Genomic DNA, 21,015 nt, shown 5'->3' on the forward strand with positions numbered 1-21,015 from the left:
CAGGAGGATGCTGTAGGGGCAGTCTCACGGCGGTCTCACCTCTGCCACCTGTGGATGAGAGGCTGGACCGGGTCTTGGTGCTTTCCAGCTCAGGGCGTTGGTCCACTTGGTTATTCTTGGGGACCAAAATCCAAGCTAGGATGGGGACAGAGGCCTGGAGACAACCTGCTGGCCTCCTTCCATTAAAGCCATTACAGTGTCACCACAGGATTGTAAGAATTACAAATGCGTTTTCCAGAGTCCCCAGAGAAAAAGGAGTCTGGCAGTTAGAAGAGTAAAGTGCATCTGTCAACAAAAGAAATACCAAAGATGAGACTACAGCAGCGACTTGTCACCTCTTCCGTGTTGCTACTGCCTGAGAACAGAGGTTTTTAGTTTCTTTAAAGGGTTGTAAACATAAAAACAAAGAAGGATACAACATGCAAGGCCTAAAATGTTTACTTTCTGGCCTTTTACACAGGCAGTTCGCCAGCCCCCTACCCTACAGTATGGAAAAAAGGCATAGAACAGTCAAATCACGTAGGATTTCTTAGTTTCTCCATGCAGGCTCATCGAATAGCAACCATCCTTTCTTAGTTTCTTGAAACAAGTACCTTATTTACATTCAGAGAATTATATGTGGACAAACAGCTCATAAGCCCGTACTTTTACATACTCACTTCCTGAATTGCATATTGAAAAAGAGAGTTCATGTAAAGCCGATTATTATTTAATCTAAAGTTATGTTCACATAGGAAGCACTAGTGTAGAGAAATAGGGTCTGAGGGACAAGGAGCCTGTGTGCCCGTGTCGGCAGCCGAGTAACTGCCAAGGGTCCCCTGCTTGGCACTCTGCTGTCCCACTTGCTTCCTGCCCTCTCTGGATTCTAACACTTGTGCCATTGTGCATCCGTCTCAGGTCATGGTGCTGTTACTTGGTGAGAAAGCATTATTTAAATACCCCAGATGAGGAGTTAGGCACTTTCTCCAGTTTTGCAATGCTCTTTTGTTTACCTTTTAAAAAAAAAAAAAAAAAAAAACGAGACAAGGTCTCACTCTGTCACCTGGGCTGGAGTGCAGTGGTGCCATCATAGCCCACTATACCTTGAACTCCTGGGTTCAAGCGATCTTCTTGACTTGGCCTCCCAAAGTGCTGGTATTACAGGTGTGAGCTACCATGCCATTTACCTTTTTTATGCTTAAAATAAATGTATAAAATATTAAAAATCATTTTCCTCCCAAGAACCAAACGTGTATTACTAAATATGTTTAGTTGACCATGCAGGCTATTTGAGAGACAGTGGGAGATGCTGAAATATTCAAGCACCACTGTTTTGGTGGGTATCGGAAGATTTTCAATCAATAGTTTACTTATTTGGTTATGTATTAGGTTGTATTGGGTGGGGCCAATCATTATGTGACTATTTTTTTCTTCAGAGTGGTGATTGAAAAGCAGCCCCCAACCGTTTTCTCCGAGAGGTGCATGCTGAGCCTGCCTGCAGCTTACCCCCAACCCCCAGCCCCTAGCCCGGCTCTCCTTGTCTTACATGAGTCAGTTTCCTTCTGCTGCTATTCTGGACAAAAACCTCTATCAGGACAGAGACCTTGTCTTGTTCACCCTATTCCTGGCATCAAGGCTGTGTCTGACATGTAATGGGGATGGCTGTTTGTTTGGTGGTGGTTGAGATGACCAAGATGTTCTTGACCTGTGTAGGGTGGTAGTGGAGAAACAGGCACAGGCCCTTGTGGTGTAGTTGCGAAAAAGGAGCTCACACTAATGGGAACCAGATTGTATCATTGGCTGAGTATACAGCAGATGCGTTCCCCTTTGTTATTTTATCACTTGCTTACCTGGAAGCTCTGGTCTGACTTTAGGAACATGCCACACACTTGGATAAACATGGACTCCTTTACTAGAGATTTATAGAATCTTTTTCCTAGAGCCATTTGAGAAGCACTTGTCCAAGACGTGCTATTTTATAGGCTATTTTGATGTAAGGGAAAAGACGTATCCTGGATCTTCCAGAAAGCATGGAATTATGGCTGCGTATTAGGAAGAGGCCTGGCTTTCCTGTGGGAATTGAACAGAAGACAGGCATCTCTCATGTTCTGGTTGTTGCAGTTTTGCTTCTTCTGTTCATTGAATTAGCGTTTCAGAGCTCTCCATGTGTGAGTTTCCATTTGGAAATGGTATAGTCATCATCGTAATGTAGCAGTCATTCGTTAATTTTTATGAGCCACTTGTGACGTTTCAGGAAGCTGACAGCCGACATGGATTAGCTCATTTATACCTAGGGAAACAGAGGCACCAGAGGCCACAAAAGCTATTCAGGGTCACACAGCCTATGTGTGAGGTTTACATAATAAACGTCAAAAAACGCAGGCTCTAAGGAACAAAAAGGAAGATTTGAGCTGGGTGGAGGCTCCTTATCTCTCCTACAACCTGAGCCAACAACACCCCATCACTTCACCCCAAAGTGCGCAGGGAAGAAATGGAAGGGGCAGCCGTGGCCTCATCTTTTGTGCTGTTTTTCTCCAGCACAAAAACCTGTGTGCTGTTTTTCTGCAGACCTTGGTTTTCTCATCTTGAAAGTTGTGAATCTGTGTCACATTTTCCTGGTGTATCGCGTGCACTTTTGATCTGCGGATTCAGATCTTTCTGCGTCTCAGGAACATTCCTTTGTCTTTTATCTTCGAATAGTCTTTGAGTTCTTTTGTTGTGGATGTGTTGTCAGAGATACCATTTATCCTTTTGTTTAGGTCCGTTTGTCAATGAACTTCTCTCTTAAATACTTTACCTCTGTCTTTTTAATCTCATTGACTGTGTCTGTTTCAAGCCATTCCTCTGTGTCAGAAACTCAGCTTTCAGCCTTGTCTCTTCTGCTCCTTACTTTTTCTAATTTTATTCATCAGTTCCCCAAATGCCGTTTTGATCCTCAGATCTGGACGTTTCCATTTTATCTCATATTGTTTCAAATTCTCATACTGGAGGTTCTCGTCTCCTGGAATGGCTGTTCTTTCTTAAGTCACACTGGAGTGGGAAGCGGTTGTAAGGGACTTCCTTCTGCTTTTTGAGCTTTGTTTTCTTCTCCATTGTTGCTTTGTTTCTCTTCTGTTCCCTTCCCTCCTTCCTCTCCCCAAGCCTCTCCCGCCTTCCCATTTTCCCTGCTGGGGAGCCTTTGCATAATGTCCCCAGCCCTGCTCTTCAGCCTTCTTGGCTTGGACCTCTCTTCCCAGACATTGTCTTTCCCTGAGACCGATGCTGACCACTGGGAAGACTTCTCCCTCATTCTGAGTCAAATCTAGGCTGTTGGGAGCCCGTGACCGCCCTGCTTCCTGTGGTGGGAGAAGGTGAGGGAGAGGAGATGCTCTCATCCTGAGTGTCCTGGACGAGATGGGCCAGACCATTCTACCCACACTCCCATTTGCCAGACCTCAGCCACCTCCCCCAGCCAGCCCCAGGGGTGTTGGGGGCATCTTTCGAGTCTCACTGCCCACGCTGTGGGAGCTGAGACTGGATGCTGTTCTGGAGATCCCAGGATTTACTGAGCATCCATGCTCTGCCATCCGTCTAGTTGGAGGGAGCTGCCTCCCGTTGAAAGAGTCTGCCCTTCTTTAGGGACCAGGGCTCTGCTCTTCCTGGGAATTTACCACATCCTCTTCCAGGTTCCCTTCACCCATCCTGCGGGGTGGGAGGAATATATCATTGTTCCCCTTGAGGTGCCCCCCTGCGTGGGTCACTTCTCCCGCTCACCAGGCAACACGGGCATCTTCTTTGCCTCCGGAGAGCCTTTGCCGGCCATTCACTTCCAAGGCTTTCTTATTTCCATTCCTCAGTCAGGAGACGAAAAAGATGAGGCCACGGCTGCCCCTTCTGTTTCTTCCCTGCGCACTTTGGGGTGAAGTGATGGGGTGTTGTTGGCTCAGGTTGTAGGAGAGATGAGGAGCCTCCGCCCAGCTCAAATCTTCCTTTTTGTTCCTTAGAGCCTGCGTTTTTTGAGGTTTATTATGTAAAGCCGTGCCCCTTTTCCTGTTGGATGGTGAAGTTCCTTCCTTCTGGCTTTAATGTTTCCCCCTTGTTTTATTAGGAAAGGAGGAAAGGAAATTCAGTTATAGTGAAGTTCTAATCTGCCATCTTAACCTGGAGTTTGGCTTTTTTCTTGTTCTGTGTTCCTTTTGTACCTTACTTAGATCTCGGTTAAATGAAACCATGAGAGACCGTGGCCTGCCCAAGGAAATCGTGTTAAGTGCTCACTTCACTGCGGGTCAGAACCCCGGAGTGTTTCACCCATGGAAATAGTCAGCAGTCGCCACATGCAGGGTCCTCACTCACTGCTGGTACCTTTGTGTAGTAGTTACTTTGTATTTTACAATGTAAATTAAAAAAAAAAGTTGGGAGAGGAAGTGAAATCTGATTTGGCTAAATTTTGTAAACAAAGATGTTACCAATAAAACCTTTTTCCCAGTGTATAAATAATATGTGGTCCAAAATTCCTTTTAAATGTCACAATACAAAACTTTTCCAAAACCCCAACATTAGTGACTGACTTCAGTATTTTTATCAAAGTTAAATGAGCCAAACTTATTTTTTACAAATTTCTGGCGCATTCATGATTGAAATTTTAAATATTCTCCTAGGGAAAAACGAGGGCTGATTGTCCTTTTCAAGGTATCCATCTCATCCCACTTGTTAAAAATAATTAGGGAATAATACAGTTTGCAGATTTTCTCCCGATGTCATCATGGCACTCAGTAACAAGGAATATTGTAGATGAATTTTGAAAATGTTTTTCCTGGAAGAGAATCCCAAACGTGTGGCCGAAAGGGACCCAGGACCTGCCAGCCATGCTCCTCCTGTCTTTCTCCCTTCCAGTCTGAACCCCACAGCGCTGGGCGGTTGACGAGGTGTGGCCAGCTTGCATCTGCTGAAAGAACCGGGGTGGCCCCACTGCATCTTGATCAGACACTGCCATGAGGTCCCTCCCCTCTCTGATGGCAAAGGGAAACAGTGGGCTCTACACATGGAGCTTTGAAGTCAAGAGTCATTTTCATCCTTAGCTCAGGCATGAAAAAAAAAAAAAGAATAGTAAAAATTAAAAACCCTTTAAAAAGATAAAAATCAACAGTAAAAAATGAAAGTTACAGACAGGTGTCTGTCTTTTTAGTTTCCTAAGCACAGTGATGATTATTGGAGCTAAAGACAGAGGCCACCCTTCCCAAGTGTGAGTGGAGTAAGGATAAGATAGTCCCGCCTCTCTGCCTGTTTGATGTTGGCCCTGTGGATGCTGCAAAACGCAGCAAACACGGAGGCTGCCGGCTTTGTTTCTGTAGGGCTTGTCTTAGCAGAAGTTCACATGGAAGAGAGGAGGCGTAAGAAGCAGTCAGAACGTCTGGATTGGAGTCTTGGTCCTGCCGCGTGCTGGCCGTGGAGCTCTTGCTCTGTGTCTGAACTCCTTTTCCTCCTGAGTGGATTTGGGTGTTGCCAGTGATGTTTGCGTCATAAGATGGGGTGAGGGCTAACGGAGATGATGTGGGAAAACAAGTGCTTTGTATCCTGCCGCGCACTGGCCGTGGAGCTCTTGCTCTGTGTCTGAACTCCTTTTCCTCCTGAGTGGATTTGGGTGTTGCCAATGATGTTTGCGTCATAAGATGGGGTGCGGGCTAACAGAGATGATGTGGGAAAACAAGTGCTTTGTAGACGATGGCGTTGGAAGGCACACTGTCGTTGCCATAGCTGTCGCTTGGAGGACTGTTAATGATACGTTGATAGCTTTCAGTTCAATTAGCCAAAATGACAGAAATGCCAAACATCTGTTGCAATGTTGACTCCCAAAAGGGCCCTTTTTTTGGAATGGGAAAATTCAGTTTTCTCTTTATTTTCTTTTTCTTAAAGCAGAAATGACAGCATAGATGATCTCCCTCTCCGACTTGTCTCTGTGTAGACTGCACTTGTGTTCAAGAGGCTCCGCTGTAGCTCAACCTCGCGTGAGTGCAGAAACTTGAAGGAACCCAGTTGTTTTACTTCCCCCAGCACCCCAAATTTAAAACTGGCTCTCACATTGTGAGACAGCATTCAGAATAGTAATCGTGAAAGGCTATGAGGACTTAGAAAAAGGTATTTAAAAAACGAAAGAGTGTAGCTGTATCCTTTTCTTCCTGGTGCGCTGTTCATTCACGGTGAACGCACCCACTTCAGCATCTTGGTGGAAATAACTCAGTTCCACCTTCCATATACTTTTCTCTCTGCAGTGTGGGATTTAGGGAGAAATTAAGACCTCGACTCGCTTATGAATACAAGCTCAAGGGCAAACTAAGGCACCCAGCGCAGTTTCCACATGTTCTGGGAACCCTGAACACTTGCCTTGGGGTGAACCAGAAACCTAATACATTGCACATTGCACTTGAAGTTGAGTTCAGACAAGAAGATGGGACCGCTGTATCCCCAAGTAGCTCGGGCGAGGTGAGAGCACTCCATTCTGCTTCAAACTCAGTGCAGAAAGCCAAGCCCAGAAGGGATGCGGGTTCCGTTCTCACCTCCCTCTGCTCTAAGCTGAGGATTCCAGGTGATGCTGTTTACCTCCTGTGATATCCTTGTGTCCTGGGGAAGCACAGATTTCAGTGAGACTGGGACTCTGTTTTCCCCTCTCACTGAGATGCGGTCACAGCTGCCCAGCGACCTGGTTCCACCTTAGGGTCAGGCAGCTGCGACCGATCTGTCTGGTTCCTCACCCTGGGGGTGCCCGCCGTTGGGAGGTGCTGTGGTTCCAGGGTGGGCGCTGGTCCCTTCCCACGGAGCTCGCCTAGCACCTGTTCACAGGTGTGCCTGGGCCAGATGCATGTCTGACAGGGACATCAGGTTTGGGGAGACTGAAAACCATTTTTGAAAATGAAGTTATGCTGATGTCATTTAATCGTACGTCATCATAATTGGCAGCAGAGAAGGTTGCACATCACTCATGGCAGATCCATTACATGGGCCATGGGCCAAGCTGTGCACCAGGTGCTGGGAGGATACCGGTGGGCGAACCAGACCTGCAGGAAAATACATGGAAATGGGGACAAAACAGGCATTTCAGAAGCTACATTCAGCTTGAAACTGGATGTAAAATTTGATGGTATCCTCTAAAATTCTGGTGGAAAAAAGATCTCCCTTTGGGAGGCTGAGGCAGGTAGACCGCTTGAGCCCAGGAGTTCGAGACCAGCCTGGGCAACACAATGAGGCCCCATCTCATCTATCCAGGTGTGGCGGCACATGTCCGTGGTCCCAGCTACTCAGGGAGGCTGAGGTGGGAGGATCTTTTGAGCCTAGGCAGTCGAGGCTGCAGTGAGTCATGTCCGTGCCACCGCACTCCAGCCTAGGCAACAGAGTGAGACTGTGTCTCAAAAAACAAAACAAAACACAACACAACAACAATGAAAAATCTAATGACTGGGATGAGATCTGATGAAATGGTAGGTTGAATTTAAAATGGTGCAAGTGGTGGTGCCTGCAGAGTACCAGCTTGTTGCCAACGATGCTGTCATCCTAAGGCTCTCCTTCTGTGGTTAAAGTGGTTCAAGTGTAGAAAATGAATTTTAAAGTGTTACCTACCTGCCAGCCCAGACTTCTCAAGGCCCAGTGGTCCTATTGAGCTGAACCTGCTCCCATCAGTAGTGCCCTGCGGGACCTTTTGAAAATCTCCCCAGTAAAGACATTCTTGCTTTCATACAACCTGGCTGCTGGAGCACCTGGCTGAATTTTATCTTATTATTCACCTTTGAGTTCGTGGCAAATACTTAGCAGTATTTAATTTTTGCTTTCTGATTTAAGTGTAATACGAAAAAAAATCATGCAAATCAATTACCAGTATCTGGTGTTTGAAATTGTAAGATGCTGAAAAGAACTGTTAATTATACTCTGTATCTGCCGGGGGAATGTAAACTGACTTTAGGATTCGAAGAGACCTTGCTGATGAGAGAAGGAATCACTGCTCCTTTTAGAGGCAATGAAAGTTGGGCCTGGAGTCCTTTGCTTGAGATCACAAAGCCAGAGACTTCAGGAGAGCAGAAATGAGAAGGCTCAGTGCCCTCCTAGGGAACCTTTCGTAACTTGAATATTGTGATTCAGCCACCTGGAAGCTTCACTTGTGAACGTGACTCTGCAAAAACATGTTAGAGGAAGCAAAGGAGAGGATGGACGTGAAATCCGTCCTATGCATGCTCACCTGACATGCAACAGGGAGGGTCATCTGCCAGGGCGTCACGGTCATTCCACGAGAGCTGGGTGGTGACGCTCCCCAAGTTCCCACTCCTGGAGAGGTAGGCAGCGAGGGACACTGGCGTTGCAGGGCCCCTGGGACAGGCTCCACTCCTCCCTTCTTGCTCTGGAGGTGACACAGTCTAGGGATCTAGTGAGGAATGGGACCTGGGGCCAGCGTGCTTGGACAAGACGAAGCCTCATCAAAGTTGAACCTTAGGGTTCATCAAGCAGGGAGGGCTTCCACATACCCTTGTATCTGGGGCAACCATCAGAGGGCAGGGCTGGAGCTGGGGCCCTGTAGGGCACTCAGCGTCCGGAGGGCACAGAGGAGCACATGTGGGGCTCAGGACACAGGGTCGGGACGGTGTGGCGGCGAGGTCCCTCTGGCTGTGATATATGTTAGGGGAAGGAGGGACTGAGGCCGGGAGTGGGCACGGGCAGGCAGGAAACTTGTGCAGAAACCTAGCAAAGAAGTGTGGGTGATTTCAATGAATGTGAGGGGTAGGGAAGGGAGAGCAGAGGGAGATTAAAAACACTTGGGGGTGAGATAAATGGGGCAGGGATGGTGAGGATCCCTGTTTGCTGAGCTCCTCTGTCCCAAGCAGGGTTCTAAGAGCTTTTCATGCATTAACTCATTAAGGAAGGCTCTGTTTACCCTCATTTCACAGGTGAGGAAACTGAGGCATCGAGCAGTTGAGTTACGTGCTGGAGGTCACTCAGCCAGGGAGGGCTCGGCAGGGATTTGAACCTGGTGGGCTGGTGCCTGGGGCCACACACAGAACAGGGTATGAAGGAGAAGATTCTTCTCCAAAGAAAGAGGAACAGATTTCCTTTTCAAATGTTATTTTTCTTTCTTTCTTTCTTTCTTTTTTTTTTTTGAGACACAGTCTTGCTCTGTCACCCAGGCTGGAGTGCAGTGGCGCAATCTCGGCTCCCTGCAACCTCCACCTCCCAGGTTCAAGCAATTCTCCTGTCTCAGCCTCCCGAGTAGCTGGGATTACAGGCCCCCACCACCACACCTGGCTAATTTTTGTATTTTTAGTAGAGACAGGGTTTCACCGTGTTGGTCATGCTGGTCTTGAACTCCTGACCTCAGGTGATCCACCTGCCTCGGCCTCCCAAAGTGTTGGGATTACAGGTGTGAGCCACCGCGCCCAGCCTTAAATGTTATTTTTCTTAAAACAGTCAAATTCAATTCACATCACCAAGATACAGCAGGTTTCCAGCATCTCTTTTTAAAAAGTTTTTTTAAAGGGAAATAATACTACTATCACTGTTGCAGACTTTTCTGTCGTAAGCAGGCTTATTCAATGTTAAATACGACTTTTATTAAAGCAGGTTAAAAGAACCTTGGCAGAAATTTCAAATAAGACTGGGTCGGGTACTGTTCAGGGTGCTTTGTGTCAACTTATTACTCCTCGCCTGCTAGGACATCATCCCCTTTGCATCTGGGGACACTGAGATGGGGCGAGGTGGGGCAAGACTACACAGCTGTATGTGGCAGAGCCAGGGTTCAGGCAGAGCTAGGCCAGTATCGGGGTCTGGGGGCGACCGTCTGCAGCACCGTCACATACGTGGGGACGTCCACCTGTGTCAGATGTTTCCCAGCTTGTTTCATGATGACAACAGCTCTGCTAGAAAAGCATTTCTTTTTTGCCTACGAGGACTCTCGATTCAGGGACCCTGAGTCTTTGGGACCCTCGTGCAGCTGGGGCTCACCCTGTCTGGACCCAGCGGCCTGACTGGCCTGGATGTGTCCCCTGCTAACGGGCCTCAGCCTGACCATTTCCAGTGGGCCCTACCGTCTTGTTTCAGTGACTGGGGGGACAGCAAAATGAGAGTTTATCTGCTTTAACATCAAAAGGTTTTCTTCATTGTTGTGTTATTGAATGAACTGAACAGCAGATTTATTTGCTTTAGCAAATGCGGCTGCCTGTGATGGTGGCATAGGTGTTGAGTGTGAGCACACGAGCATGGCAGGAGCTCGCGGGAACGGGCCAACGCCCCACTGCCCCAGTCAGCCCTCTGTGGCCTCAGAGGGTAGCTGCCCGTCTGGAGGGCCTCGGACACTTTCAGGCTGGGATGGGGACTCTGATTTTTTGCTTCTCAGGCACTGATGTGGTTCAGACCCAGGATTCTAGGAGGGAAGGTTCCCGTCGCAGGGGAGGGAATCAGACGTCGCTCTGGGCGGCAGTGGAGCTGGCAGGCAGCCTCTGGGCTCTGGCAGCATTGTCCTCTGGGTCCAGCGATTTGGGGTTTAGACAGGGTTTCTGGACGGCATCTGCACAGAGGAGCGGAAGACAAGAGCTGGGAACCGATGCGTGCCTTCCCTCTTTAAAACAAGAGTTTCGAATCCCCATGAGGGTTCCCTAGCGTGGTCTCAGAGCCCAGGATCTGGAGGGGGACGTCTGTCATTGGAGAAGGCAGAGGAGCCAGGGTGGAATCCTTCCCGCTGCCCAGCAGGAGCAGGGCTGGCCTAGCGGGCCGGGCTGGGCACTGCAGCAACCTTGTACCATCCCCTCCTGAGAGCATCAGGGGCCGGGACGTCCAAGGTAGCACCAGGCCCCTCATGCCCGCACCCCCTCCTCATGGTCACCTCTGTTCCTGCAGGGTCCCGGTGGTCTCCCGCTAACCCCGCGTGGTCTCTAACGCCTCCTGTCAGCCGCTGCTCTGCTGTCTCCACCCGTGCGGAGGTCCCATCCAGTAGTTTCTGTCTAACCCATGTGTAGTAGTGAAGCGTCCCTCCCTAATTGTGGCCTGTGACTCTGGAAACACCATTCTCATGATGTTCTATGTCTCCCTTTCAAGAACTGGGTTTCTCTTGAGGAGAATACAGGTTCTCGGCCCTGTAATTTACCAAGAGGTTGCAGATCAGGCACCTGTTAAGCATGAAAAATTTGTTTCAGTTTTGTGAACCCAACAAGAGAATGACAATTTTAATGTTCTCTGTTTCCCAGTGAGTGAGAATTCCTGAATTTACATAGAAAGCCCACATGAGAAGTCCACACTAATTGGCCACGAGTGTCTGGCATTGCGAAGGAAGCTGTGCCTTCCAACTGGAAACGCACAGGGGTTCTTAAAGACAAACATTTAAATCTGAGTTCGGCTCTGTTAAAATTCAGCATTTGCTGGCAACATCCTAAATACTCAGTTGCCTCCAGGGCGACAGCCTAGGGTGTATTTTTCCACAAGCGAAGCCCACGTCTGTCTGCCCTCCTCACTCTCTGTTGTTCTCGTGTAACGAGATGTTTTGTGTGTGTGGCAGGTGGCAGGTTCAAGAAAGAGATTGTCGTTGATGGACAGAGCTATCTGCTGCTGATCAGAGATGAAGGGGGCCCCCCGGAGGCGCAGGTGAGTATACATGCATGCCCCAAGCCTGCTTTTTTTCCCTTTGTTTTCTAAGGTTTGATTCAAGAAGTGCTTCTAGAAATCGGTGACTTGGTTTCCAAAAAAGTGGAAACCCCATAAAAAATGTTTCCTCTCACTGCATTTTTTTCTCATCTCTAAGAAGCTAATTCTTTTTTTATTTTTTTCCCAGACTAAATCCTGCAGGGAAGTTGGGTTTATGTGATGGCTTTTCACTTTCTGTGTTTTTAAAAAGGCAGGAAACGCACACTCTGCCCTGGTTGGGGAGCCCAGTTGAAATGACATCTGGAAATTTCTGTCGTTTGGTTTGTTTTTTGGCCTTTTCCTTTGAGTGGTTTGATCTCTAGAGCAGTGAGAGTTAGAGAGCTTGCTGGGTGCAATTGGGAGTCCCACCTTCTCTCTGTCTCTGGTAACTACAGGCATTGGCCCCTCTGTGCCGCCCTGGCCTTGGCCCAAGCAAGGCAGTCTCCACCGAAAGCCGGTATGAAGCATATTATGATTTCTTTGGAAGTTCCTGGAAAGATGGTCATTCTGGAAATAACAAAACATGAGTGTGGAAGATCTCTTTTTTTGGTTTATTTAACCTGCTTTGTTTTACTTACAGCATAATTTACCAGTTAAGCACTTTATTATTATTGTTATTATTATTATTGTTGTTGTTGTTATTATTATTATTGTTATTTTTTATTATTTATTTATTTTTTTTTTTTGAGACAGTCTCGCTCTGTTACCCAGGCTGGAGTGCAGTGACGTGATCTCGGCTCACTACAAGCTCCACCTCCCAGGTTCAGGCCATTCTCCTGCCTCAGCCTCCTGAGTAGCTGGGACTACGGGCGCCTGCTACCACGCCTGGCTAATTTTTTGTATTTTTAGTAGAGATGGAGTTTCACCATGTTAGCCAGGATGGTCTCGATCTCCTGACCTCGTGATCCACTCACCTCGGCCTCCCAAAGTGCTGGGATTACAGGCGTGAGCCACCGCGCCCGACCCATTTAAACACTTCAAAGGAGCCGAGAGCTGGTAACGGCTAGTGACCTCAAATGCAAACGGAATGTCAGACATTTTCTTGGCATTATTTCCTGGACTTAACCTTTTTGTGAACGGGCAGCATAGGATTGTAAGATGGAGAAAGTGAAAGATACTGAATACAGGACTTCTTAGGCCTCAGGTCTAGTACTCCACAGGTTGGAGGGCTGTGCGGTTATACAGAAGATGCCACAGATTTGCCATGTTGCATTGACTCTGACCATTGACAGTGACCATTAAGATGTACCAGTATTCGAAAGAAGGATGCTGCCAATTAAACTATGAAACAGCCGCAATAATTAGGTGCATTCTGATTTCAAAGCTGTTAAAGTGTGTAACATTTTGTTTCTTAGCATTAACGATACCATGAACTTGATCATAACAAGGAAAGACCTTGAAGACGTGTTAAAAGTGAAAACTTAGTTACAAAGCAGTTTGAGCCCATGTTCAGTGACCGTCTGGTAGTTTATAGTATGGCAGGGCAAAGTTAGAGGTCTGATAGGATCCTATCAGTCAGATGCTGATAAAAGTCAGCTCTTTCTTAGTCCCACTGAATGTATAGGACCGTGTTTGTTCTGCTACAAAGGAACTCTTGGAGGCAAGGTCCCTCCTGTGGCTGGTGATAGGAGAAAGAAGTAGGTAACATTTAGAATCACCTGAGTTGATTTTCCGTTTTCCCCAGCACATAAATGTTTTGAGTGACTGGAAACAAGCTTTTTTCTCCACAACTGAAGAGCAAGTCTTACCAGTATATGAAGCACAAAAGCTTAAATATAGAGAAAAATCTACAGAAGAGGCTAGGTGCAGCGGCTCACACCTGTAATCCCAGCACTTTGGGAAGCTGAGGCAGGCAGATCACCTGAGGTCGGGAGTTCAAGACCAGCCTGGCCAACATGGTGAAACCCCATTTCTACTAAAAATACAAAAATTAGCCAGGCGTGGTGGCACGTGCCTGTAATCCTAGCTGTTTGGGAGGCTGAGGCAGCAGAATCCCTTAAACCCAGAAGGAGGTGGTTGCAGTGAGCTGAGATCTCACCACTGCACTCCAGCCTGGGCGATGGAGCGAGACTTTGTCTCAAAAAACAAACCCCAAAGCATAGTTTCAGTTTTCTGATGGTGAACATGTTAGATTGGGGGGTTATTTATTGGGTGCCCCCCACACAAGTTGCTGGGGAAGTCAGAATGCACCCTTAGGAGATGAGAGCCACAGTTCACGTTTCCTCCGGGTGGATGCTCAGATGGGCTTCAGCTCCCGGCTCGGGAACTGAGGTCTGGTTCCGGGTCAGCCAGTACTCTTTATGGGCGCAGTGGGAGTCTGCTCCTCCTGCTTTCTTAGAAGAGACAGGAAGAGCCTTTCTCAAGGCAGAGAAGAGGAAAAGGAGATGCCTTCCGTCAGCCTTGGTCCTGGCACTCTCTGTGGGAGCTGCTATCACGATCTTCCCAGGTCTCTCCCGGCCTTCTTTGTTTTCAAGTCCTCATTCTCATTTAATTTTGTATTTATCACTAGAACTTTGGGTTAAGTTTTACCATGTACATGTTTTACATATAACTGAATGCACTTTTCACTTACATGCAGAAGTCAGAGTTTAACCTGTTAAAAACTTAGACCAAATGTATTAGAGGTGATAACCTTGGCCATAAAAACCTATCTAGGAACTACAGCTTCTTTTAGGGAAAGCAGACGGGATGGATTTCGGTTTTGTTTTTCAAATTTGCACTTGGAAAGAGAAGGATCTTTGTTGCCAGATAGAGCTGATGTCAGATGTGCTGCGCTGGTTGCAGTGAGTGTGGGAAGTCTCTGCCCTGCAGGCAGCCTCCACTCACTCAGCTCCAGTTTTCCAAGATGGCTGTTGGTACTAAATGAGGTACTAGTATATGCCTGACAGTGTGGGTATCTGTCAAAAGAGGATGTGATGTAGGTTCAACTGGCAAGACAAGAATAAAATGAATACGGCAAAGCAAGAACAAAATGGCGAGAGTGAGGCTATTGTGAAGTTTTCTTCCCTAAGTTTTGTTAATTTCCCTGAAAATAAGTAGTCATTTCTTTGCAGAGGTGCAGCAGGAGTTCAGCCAAGGATGAGCCTGGGTTGAATCTTTACCCTTCAACAGAGTAGGCCAGCCGCTGCGGTAGCGAGTGGGAAGGACTGAGGGGTGGGGAGGTTCTGAGCAGGCATGAGGGGTCCAGCAAGGCTTCCTTAAGAGGTTGAGAGTACAGTGGAAAGCCTTAGGGCTTGAGGGGCTCTGGCAGGAGGTGGGTCTGGCCTTCTGTCTGCGGGGCCGCCTTGGCAGGTCGGGGCAGCGGGCGGACAGGCCAGGAGCATGAGGACCGCGGGGACACTGTGTGGTTTGTGTCCTCTGAAGACAGAGTGGCTTGGGTGGGAACAGGATGAAGGGCCCATTCCCAAGGGGAACACCAGGCATGGTGTGCTCAGGAGGAGGACGTGGATGCCGTGACAGTGTGTAAAAGTGACAGTCAAAAGTCAAGCACCCAGTGTGTGACCGAGGGGATTCCTGCAGCCCCCTGCTGCCTGCCGCCATGCAGACATCTCTGTTCTTAATCAAGCCTGCTCACTCAGCTCCTGCTCTCCTCCCCTTCTTCTCTCCCTAGTTTGCCATGTGGGTGGACGCTGTTATATTTGTCTTCAGCTTGGAGGATGAAATAAGTTTCCAGACCGTTTACCACTACTACAGTCGAATGGCCAACTATCGGAACACGAGCGAGATTCCTCTGGTTCTGGTGGGAACCCAGGGTGAGTGATGTTCGTGTGCAGATTGTTTTGAAAGGGTTCTAACAGTTACATATTTTCAGTATGGAGGAGTTTAAAAAATGCTTTAAAGAAGGAAAAATTGCCTACTGAACGCTCACTTTTTTGGGAAAAATTATGGAACTGAAATGATCACATTTCCTGATTTGATTCTATGGTGAAACCACTCATTTAACAACCTGAAAACAACACACACACACATATCCCAGGTGCTTTATGAAAAATAAAATCTATTTTCCCTTGTTTTCTGGAAAAAAAATATATATGTGTGTGTGTATATGTTTTGTATATATATAGTCAAATACATATATATATTTTCTGCTATATTTTAATTCTCTGTTCTATAAAATGATTTATAAACAATCTATTAAAGCTTATCTTTCAGTGCACCTTGAAAATAGTGCTGATTTTGAACATAGAGCAGTTCTGTTTATTAAGTTCTGTTTGTCACCGTCTTATGATCTGTATCTTATTTTTAATCTGACAGGCCCCTCAGACAGAGAATCCAACTGGGCACATTTCTTGTTTTCTCTGAGGGTCACTTCGAACTTGGTCTCTTAGTGGAGTGGCCGTCACATGGCCTGAGACACAATGTCCTCGCTCTTGATCACAGACCTATGGTTGTGCTGGGTCTGCCACTAGGGTCTAAGATGTCACGTAGGATGTTTGTAAAAGTCAGATGGAGGTTAGCTTTACAACTGCTTTGTCAGAAATATGGGTAACATACAAATAATCCTATCAGGAAAAATTGTATATCCCTTCATTTTTGTTGTGGCTATGAATAGACTGTTTTGCGAATTCTTTTAGAATGAGCCTATCTGACATGCCCATCCATGCTCTGATGTGAGACGCTTCTCTTTAGGACGTCAGCTGTACATACTGCACTAGGTGTGGTCTAAGTAGGAGGTTGCCCAGGCAGATGATTGGCTGCTTGATCACGAACCTACAAAAGCCCAGATAAATAGTGTGGCATAAACCACAAACATTTTCCAGCCAGACGTGGTGGCTCACGCCTGTAATTCCAGCACTTTGGGAGGCCCAGGCAGGTGGGATCAGTTGAAGTCAGGAGTTGACCAGCCTGGCCCACATGGTGAAACCCTGTCTGTACTAAAAATAGAAAAATTAGCCAGGCATGGTGGTGCATGCCTGTAATACCAGCTGCTCAGGAGGCTGAGGCAGGAGGATCACTTGAACCCAGGAAGCAGAGGTTGCAGTGAGCTGAGATCACGCCATTGCACTCCAGCCTGGGTGACAGAGTGAGATTCTGTCTCAAAAAAATAAAAAGCCGGGCATGTTGGCGGGTGTCTGTAATCCCAGCTACTTGGGAGGCTGAGGCAGGAGAATCTTTTGAATCTGGGGAGATGGAGGTTGCAGTGAGCCAAGATCGTGCCACTGCACTCCAGCCTGGTAGACAGAGGGAGACTCCATCTCAAGGGAAAAAAAAAACAAAACTATAAGTATCTTTTCAGTGTGCTAGATGAGAGATGTTAGAGTTGGGCTTCCTGGAGAGCACCTCCCCCAACTTTTTTTTTTTTTTTTTTTTTTTTTTTTTTTTTTAAAGCGTACGTGGTCGCTCTCACTCCTGAAACCTTCAGAGCCAGAGCTCTGTTTAATCCTAACACAGAAGGGAGGAGGGATTCTTAGGCCTAATGCACCCTCTAGTGTTCACCAGGAGACAAGGCCGCACCACCCAAAAGTCCTTGGTTCTTGTGAGAATGCAGAGTTGCCGTATTTGAGGTGGCATCTTGAAAATGCCTAATCGTGTTTTAAAGTGGATGCTCATCCACAGCAGATTCTGCTTAAAGCTGCCTTGAAGTCGAATAGAGAAATTCCGAATAAGCTCCCCTTCCTGCAGGCCCGACCGTGGCATTTTTGAGCAGGGTCCTTCGGGGCTGTGTGTGCAGACACCACTCACAGGCTGCTGGAGCTCAGGAGGTTTGACTTTAGGACTCAGAATGGGCTTTTGCTTAGACTCACTGTGAAAAGTGACAGTGAAGTTCCCAGCCTGGAAAGATCCCCTGCGATCAGGTTCTGTTCTCTGAGTTCTGAGTACACATCCATGTTCCATCAGTAGGAAGGGAGTGTCTGAGATCCCGGGAGTTGGGACCACACACACCTGCGTGTGACTGGCTGCTGGCTGGGTGACCTTGACACCTGGGACTTTGGTGGGGTTCAACAGGAATTCCCAGAAGACACTCAGTGCATCCGTGGGTATGTGATAGGCATCTTAACAATGGCTGCTTTTGTTCCTCATATTTCAATCTGCGACCAGTGTTCCAGGGTCCTGCCTGGAATCCTGAACCCCACCCCCCACTGTCCCTGCCCCTGGAGGCAGCGTATCCCTCTGAGTCTCCTGCCTGAGCCAAGGGGCACATCGAGCCTCCTGCCAGGGTGGCTGCTTAGATTCTCGAGAAACCCTGATGAAGTTGAAGTCCTTGAGTAAAAGAAAGTACCCCCATTTATTCCCATGAATTCCATGAACATCCGTTGATCGGATGTGGAAAGATGCCCAGGAAGGCCCCAGGGGAGTGTGTGCGTGTGCGAGGGTGGCCTCTGGGGTTGGGAGGTAAGTCAGCCCCACACCCTCCCGGGGTGAACAGGTAAGCTGGCCCCACGCCCTCCCGGGGTGAGCAGGTAAGCGGGCCCCATGCCCTCCCTGCAGGACTCCTCTTAGCTGGGCCACCCCCAGATGAACCAGAACGAAAAGTTGCAATCAGGGCTGTATTCCTCACCTGCGGGATTCTCTTGGTCCTTCCCTAGACTTCAGGGAGCACCCCAGAAAGCCTGATGGCAGGAAGCTGGCATGCACGTGGGCTCTGAGGGTCCCTGCCGCGACGCTTGCTTCCTGCGTGCAGACTTGCTCTCCGTGAAGCCCGTGCTCGGCTGCTCTTTCAGGGGTTTGGCTTCCTGGGATGCCAGAGACAAAAGAGGGATCAGGTTGTCTAGGAAGGCACCTGGCATTTCTCTTCCTGCTGCTTTGGGGTAGGCAGCGTTAGAGGTCAGAGCATATGGGATGGGAAAGAACGGAAGAGGAATTAGGTTCATTGCCAAAGGATTCCTGGGCTGGGGTGAGGCCTCCGCCCGCTGGCGGGAGGGGCAGCTCTGCCAGCAGGAGCTCTTTCTGGGCAGTAGCCAAGGACTGCACGAATGTTCATAATTGGGCAAGATGGGAATGAATGAGGTAATCATTTAATGTTTGTTAAACAAGTTCTGTTTTAAAGACTTGCAAATTAAATTGATTTGAGGGAGAAGCACGATCTGTAAAAAGCTACGGAGTTAAAAGTGGAATGAAAATGAGACAGGTATAGAACCGAAATGCGAGTGCAGAAGCCCGTTTTGGTGCAGTGGCAGAGATTCCCGTGGTGCACCTTTGAAGCCGAAATTTGACAGAAACCAAGCGAGCATGCCGCTGAGGACGGAGGGGCTGCGGGATTGCTCGGCCGCAGGTCAGGGTCTCATGGAAGCTGGGTGGATGCTATGTGGCCTGTGTTTTCAAAATTATCCTAGAGCATTGAAACATCATGGACTTGTAACTTCTTTTTACAATTAAAAAGAAATGTTTATACTTAAAAAAAAAACTTTCTTTTCTTAAATGTTGTGAAATGCAAGTCAGATTTACTAATCAGCAAGACAAGAAGGCAGGACGAGGTGCCCTTTGACCGTATCCCTGGAACGGGGGTGCAGCCTATGGAGGCTGTAGTGGTGATTGTCAGAGAAGAAACCCTTAACTGCAGAGTTCACTTGCCTTCCAGTAACGAGGAAACGTCAGCCCAACCCTATTTCATAGGGCTAAGAAAATAACATGAGAAAAGAGAAAAGAAAAAACTGAATAAATTCCTCAGGACATCACTTTTTAAATATACTTCAAAAAATGAAGTTCTCAAATGCCCTTTCTCCACAAAAATAAAATGTCAAAGGTGGTCGCTCTGTTGTATAACTTTGCTGCTATTTCTTTGACTGGTGGAGAAATCCTGTTGGTGGATTTTTGTTTAAAGAGTTGTTTATTGTTTTCTTTGGCATAAGAGCCTTCAAGCCCTATGAAAAAGATTCAGGTTAGGAAACTGTCTCTGAAGGCTGGGCGCAGTGGCTCACGCCTGTAATCCCAACACTTTGGGAGGCCCAGGCGGGTGGATCACTTGAGGCCAGGAGTTGAGACCAGCCTGGCCAACATGGTGAAACCCCGTGTCGACTAAAAATACAAAAAATTAGCTGGGCATGGTGGTGAGTACCTGTAATCCCAGCTACTTGGGAGCCTGAGGCAGGAGAATCATTTGAAACCAGGAGGCAGAGGTTGCAGTGAGCCAGCTCACGCCACTGTACTCCAGCCTGGGCGACACAGTGAGACTCCATCTCATTAAAAAAAAAGAAAAAAAAAGCTGTCTGTGAAAAGTCCTCTCTCCTCCCTAAGCCCTGTGGCTGTTCACATTCCAGCTCCTCATTTCTCTGTTCCACGTGCCACTGTAACTCAATAGTAATGGAATGGATGGGGCAGGGCTGGGGGTGGGGAATCCTGGCAGCTGAGCTTAAAAAAAAAAAAAGCTCAGTTTCTTTTTTAGGAAACTGGTGCCGACATCCCTGTGCAGCTGCTCAAACGCCCCCGTGTGCACACATGACTTAGATTGGGGGGATCCAGGTCACCTGTGACCCTGAGGGGGTCCATCAAAACCTCAGGGGACTCGCTGCTCCCCTCTCCACACACCTCCCTCCCACCCCTCTAGGCCTCACCCCTACATCTCCCTCATATACACCAGCTGTCCTGCTGCCCTCTGCCTCAGGCGTTCTGCCCCAGGCAGTGCCTACTGCGCCCCACCTGCTGCAGGTGAGGGTTCCCTGACCTCTTGCTCTAAAACCCAGAGTCACCCAAGCCTCCTGACCTCCTTCCCGGCATCAGTTAACAGTGTGGCCATCTTACATTCAGAACCATTCATCACATTCATCTTTCTTTTCTGCTTGCCTCTCTGGCCAACTAGAATGTCTGTTTCATGAGAGTGCAGATTGTGTCTGTTTCAACAATTCACTGGGGTATCCCTGTGCATAGAACAGAAACAAACCCCAAATGGGGGCTCAGTGAGCATTTATTAAGTGCGTCATTGGACAAGTGACCACACCTAGAAGAAGAATGCCAGTGTAGGGAGTATGCTTAGCCACCTGCGTGGTGCACAGAAGGGGGCCTGCACATAGGGACTGTGTGTGTGGTTTTTCCTCCTTTCTAAAGTATGTATCCTCTAGACCCATATTTAAGTCTTTTTCCTTCTTTCTGAACATTTTAAAATTGCAGTTTCAGAAGCGCTCCTGTAAAACAAATATCTACGAATGAATAACTTTCTCTTGTGTTTGAGTCTCTTAGTTGGGAGGCAAACGATGCTCTACAATTCCAGATTCATAAACTAATTACATTTCTGCTGAGTAAGGTACTGGTTTTCCGTGTTGTGGGGAGTGTAGGAAGTATTTAGAGCTGTCATTGTCACTGTGCCGTTACTTTTTGGTCTTCTGTTCCAGATGCCATAAGTTCTGCTAACCCGAGGGTCATCGATGACGCCAGGGCGAGGAAGCTCTCCAACGACCTGAAACGGTGCACGTACTACGAGACGTGTGCTACATACGGGCTGAATGTGGAGAGGGTCTTCCAGGACGGTAAATG

The 21,015-nt window shown here is 47.7% G+C and overlaps 1 protein-coding gene and 1 long non-coding RNA gene across 6 annotated transcripts in view; one reads left to right on the forward strand and one right to left on the reverse strand.

Annotated features, from left to right (window-relative positions):
• Nucleotides 1-21,015, forward strand: part of AGAP1 (ArfGAP with GTPase domain, ankyrin repeat and PH domain 1) — a 637,751-nt gene that overhangs the window by 235,438 nt on the left and 381,298 nt on the right. For all 5 annotated transcript variants that reach the window (NM_001037131.3, NM_014914.5, NM_001244888.2 and 2 more), the window contains exons 4-6: nucleotides 11,483-11,568; nucleotides 15,218-15,359; nucleotides 20,874-21,008. In NM_001037131.3, coding sequence (NP_001032208.1) covers nucleotides 11,483-11,568; nucleotides 15,218-15,359; nucleotides 20,874-21,008 — 363 coding nt within the window. The remainder of the gene's footprint in view (nucleotides 1-11,482; nucleotides 11,569-15,217; nucleotides 15,360-20,873; nucleotides 21,009-21,015) is intronic.
• LOC105373942 (uncharacterized) overlaps nucleotides 18,218-21,015 on the reverse strand; it is a 42,554-nt gene continuing 39,756 nt past the window's right edge. Inside the window, exon 4 of the long non-coding RNA XR_001739943.3 lies at nucleotides 18,218-18,281. This is a non-coding gene — a long non-coding RNA (uncharacterized LOC105373942). The remainder of the gene's footprint in view (nucleotides 18,282-21,015) is intronic.

Source organism: Homo sapiens, chromosome 2 (assembly GCF_000001405.40).
Source record: "Homo sapiens chromosome 2, GRCh38.p14 Primary Assembly".
In the NCBI taxonomy this organism is placed as follows: Eukaryota; Metazoa; Chordata; class Mammalia; order Primates; family Hominidae; genus Homo; species Homo sapiens.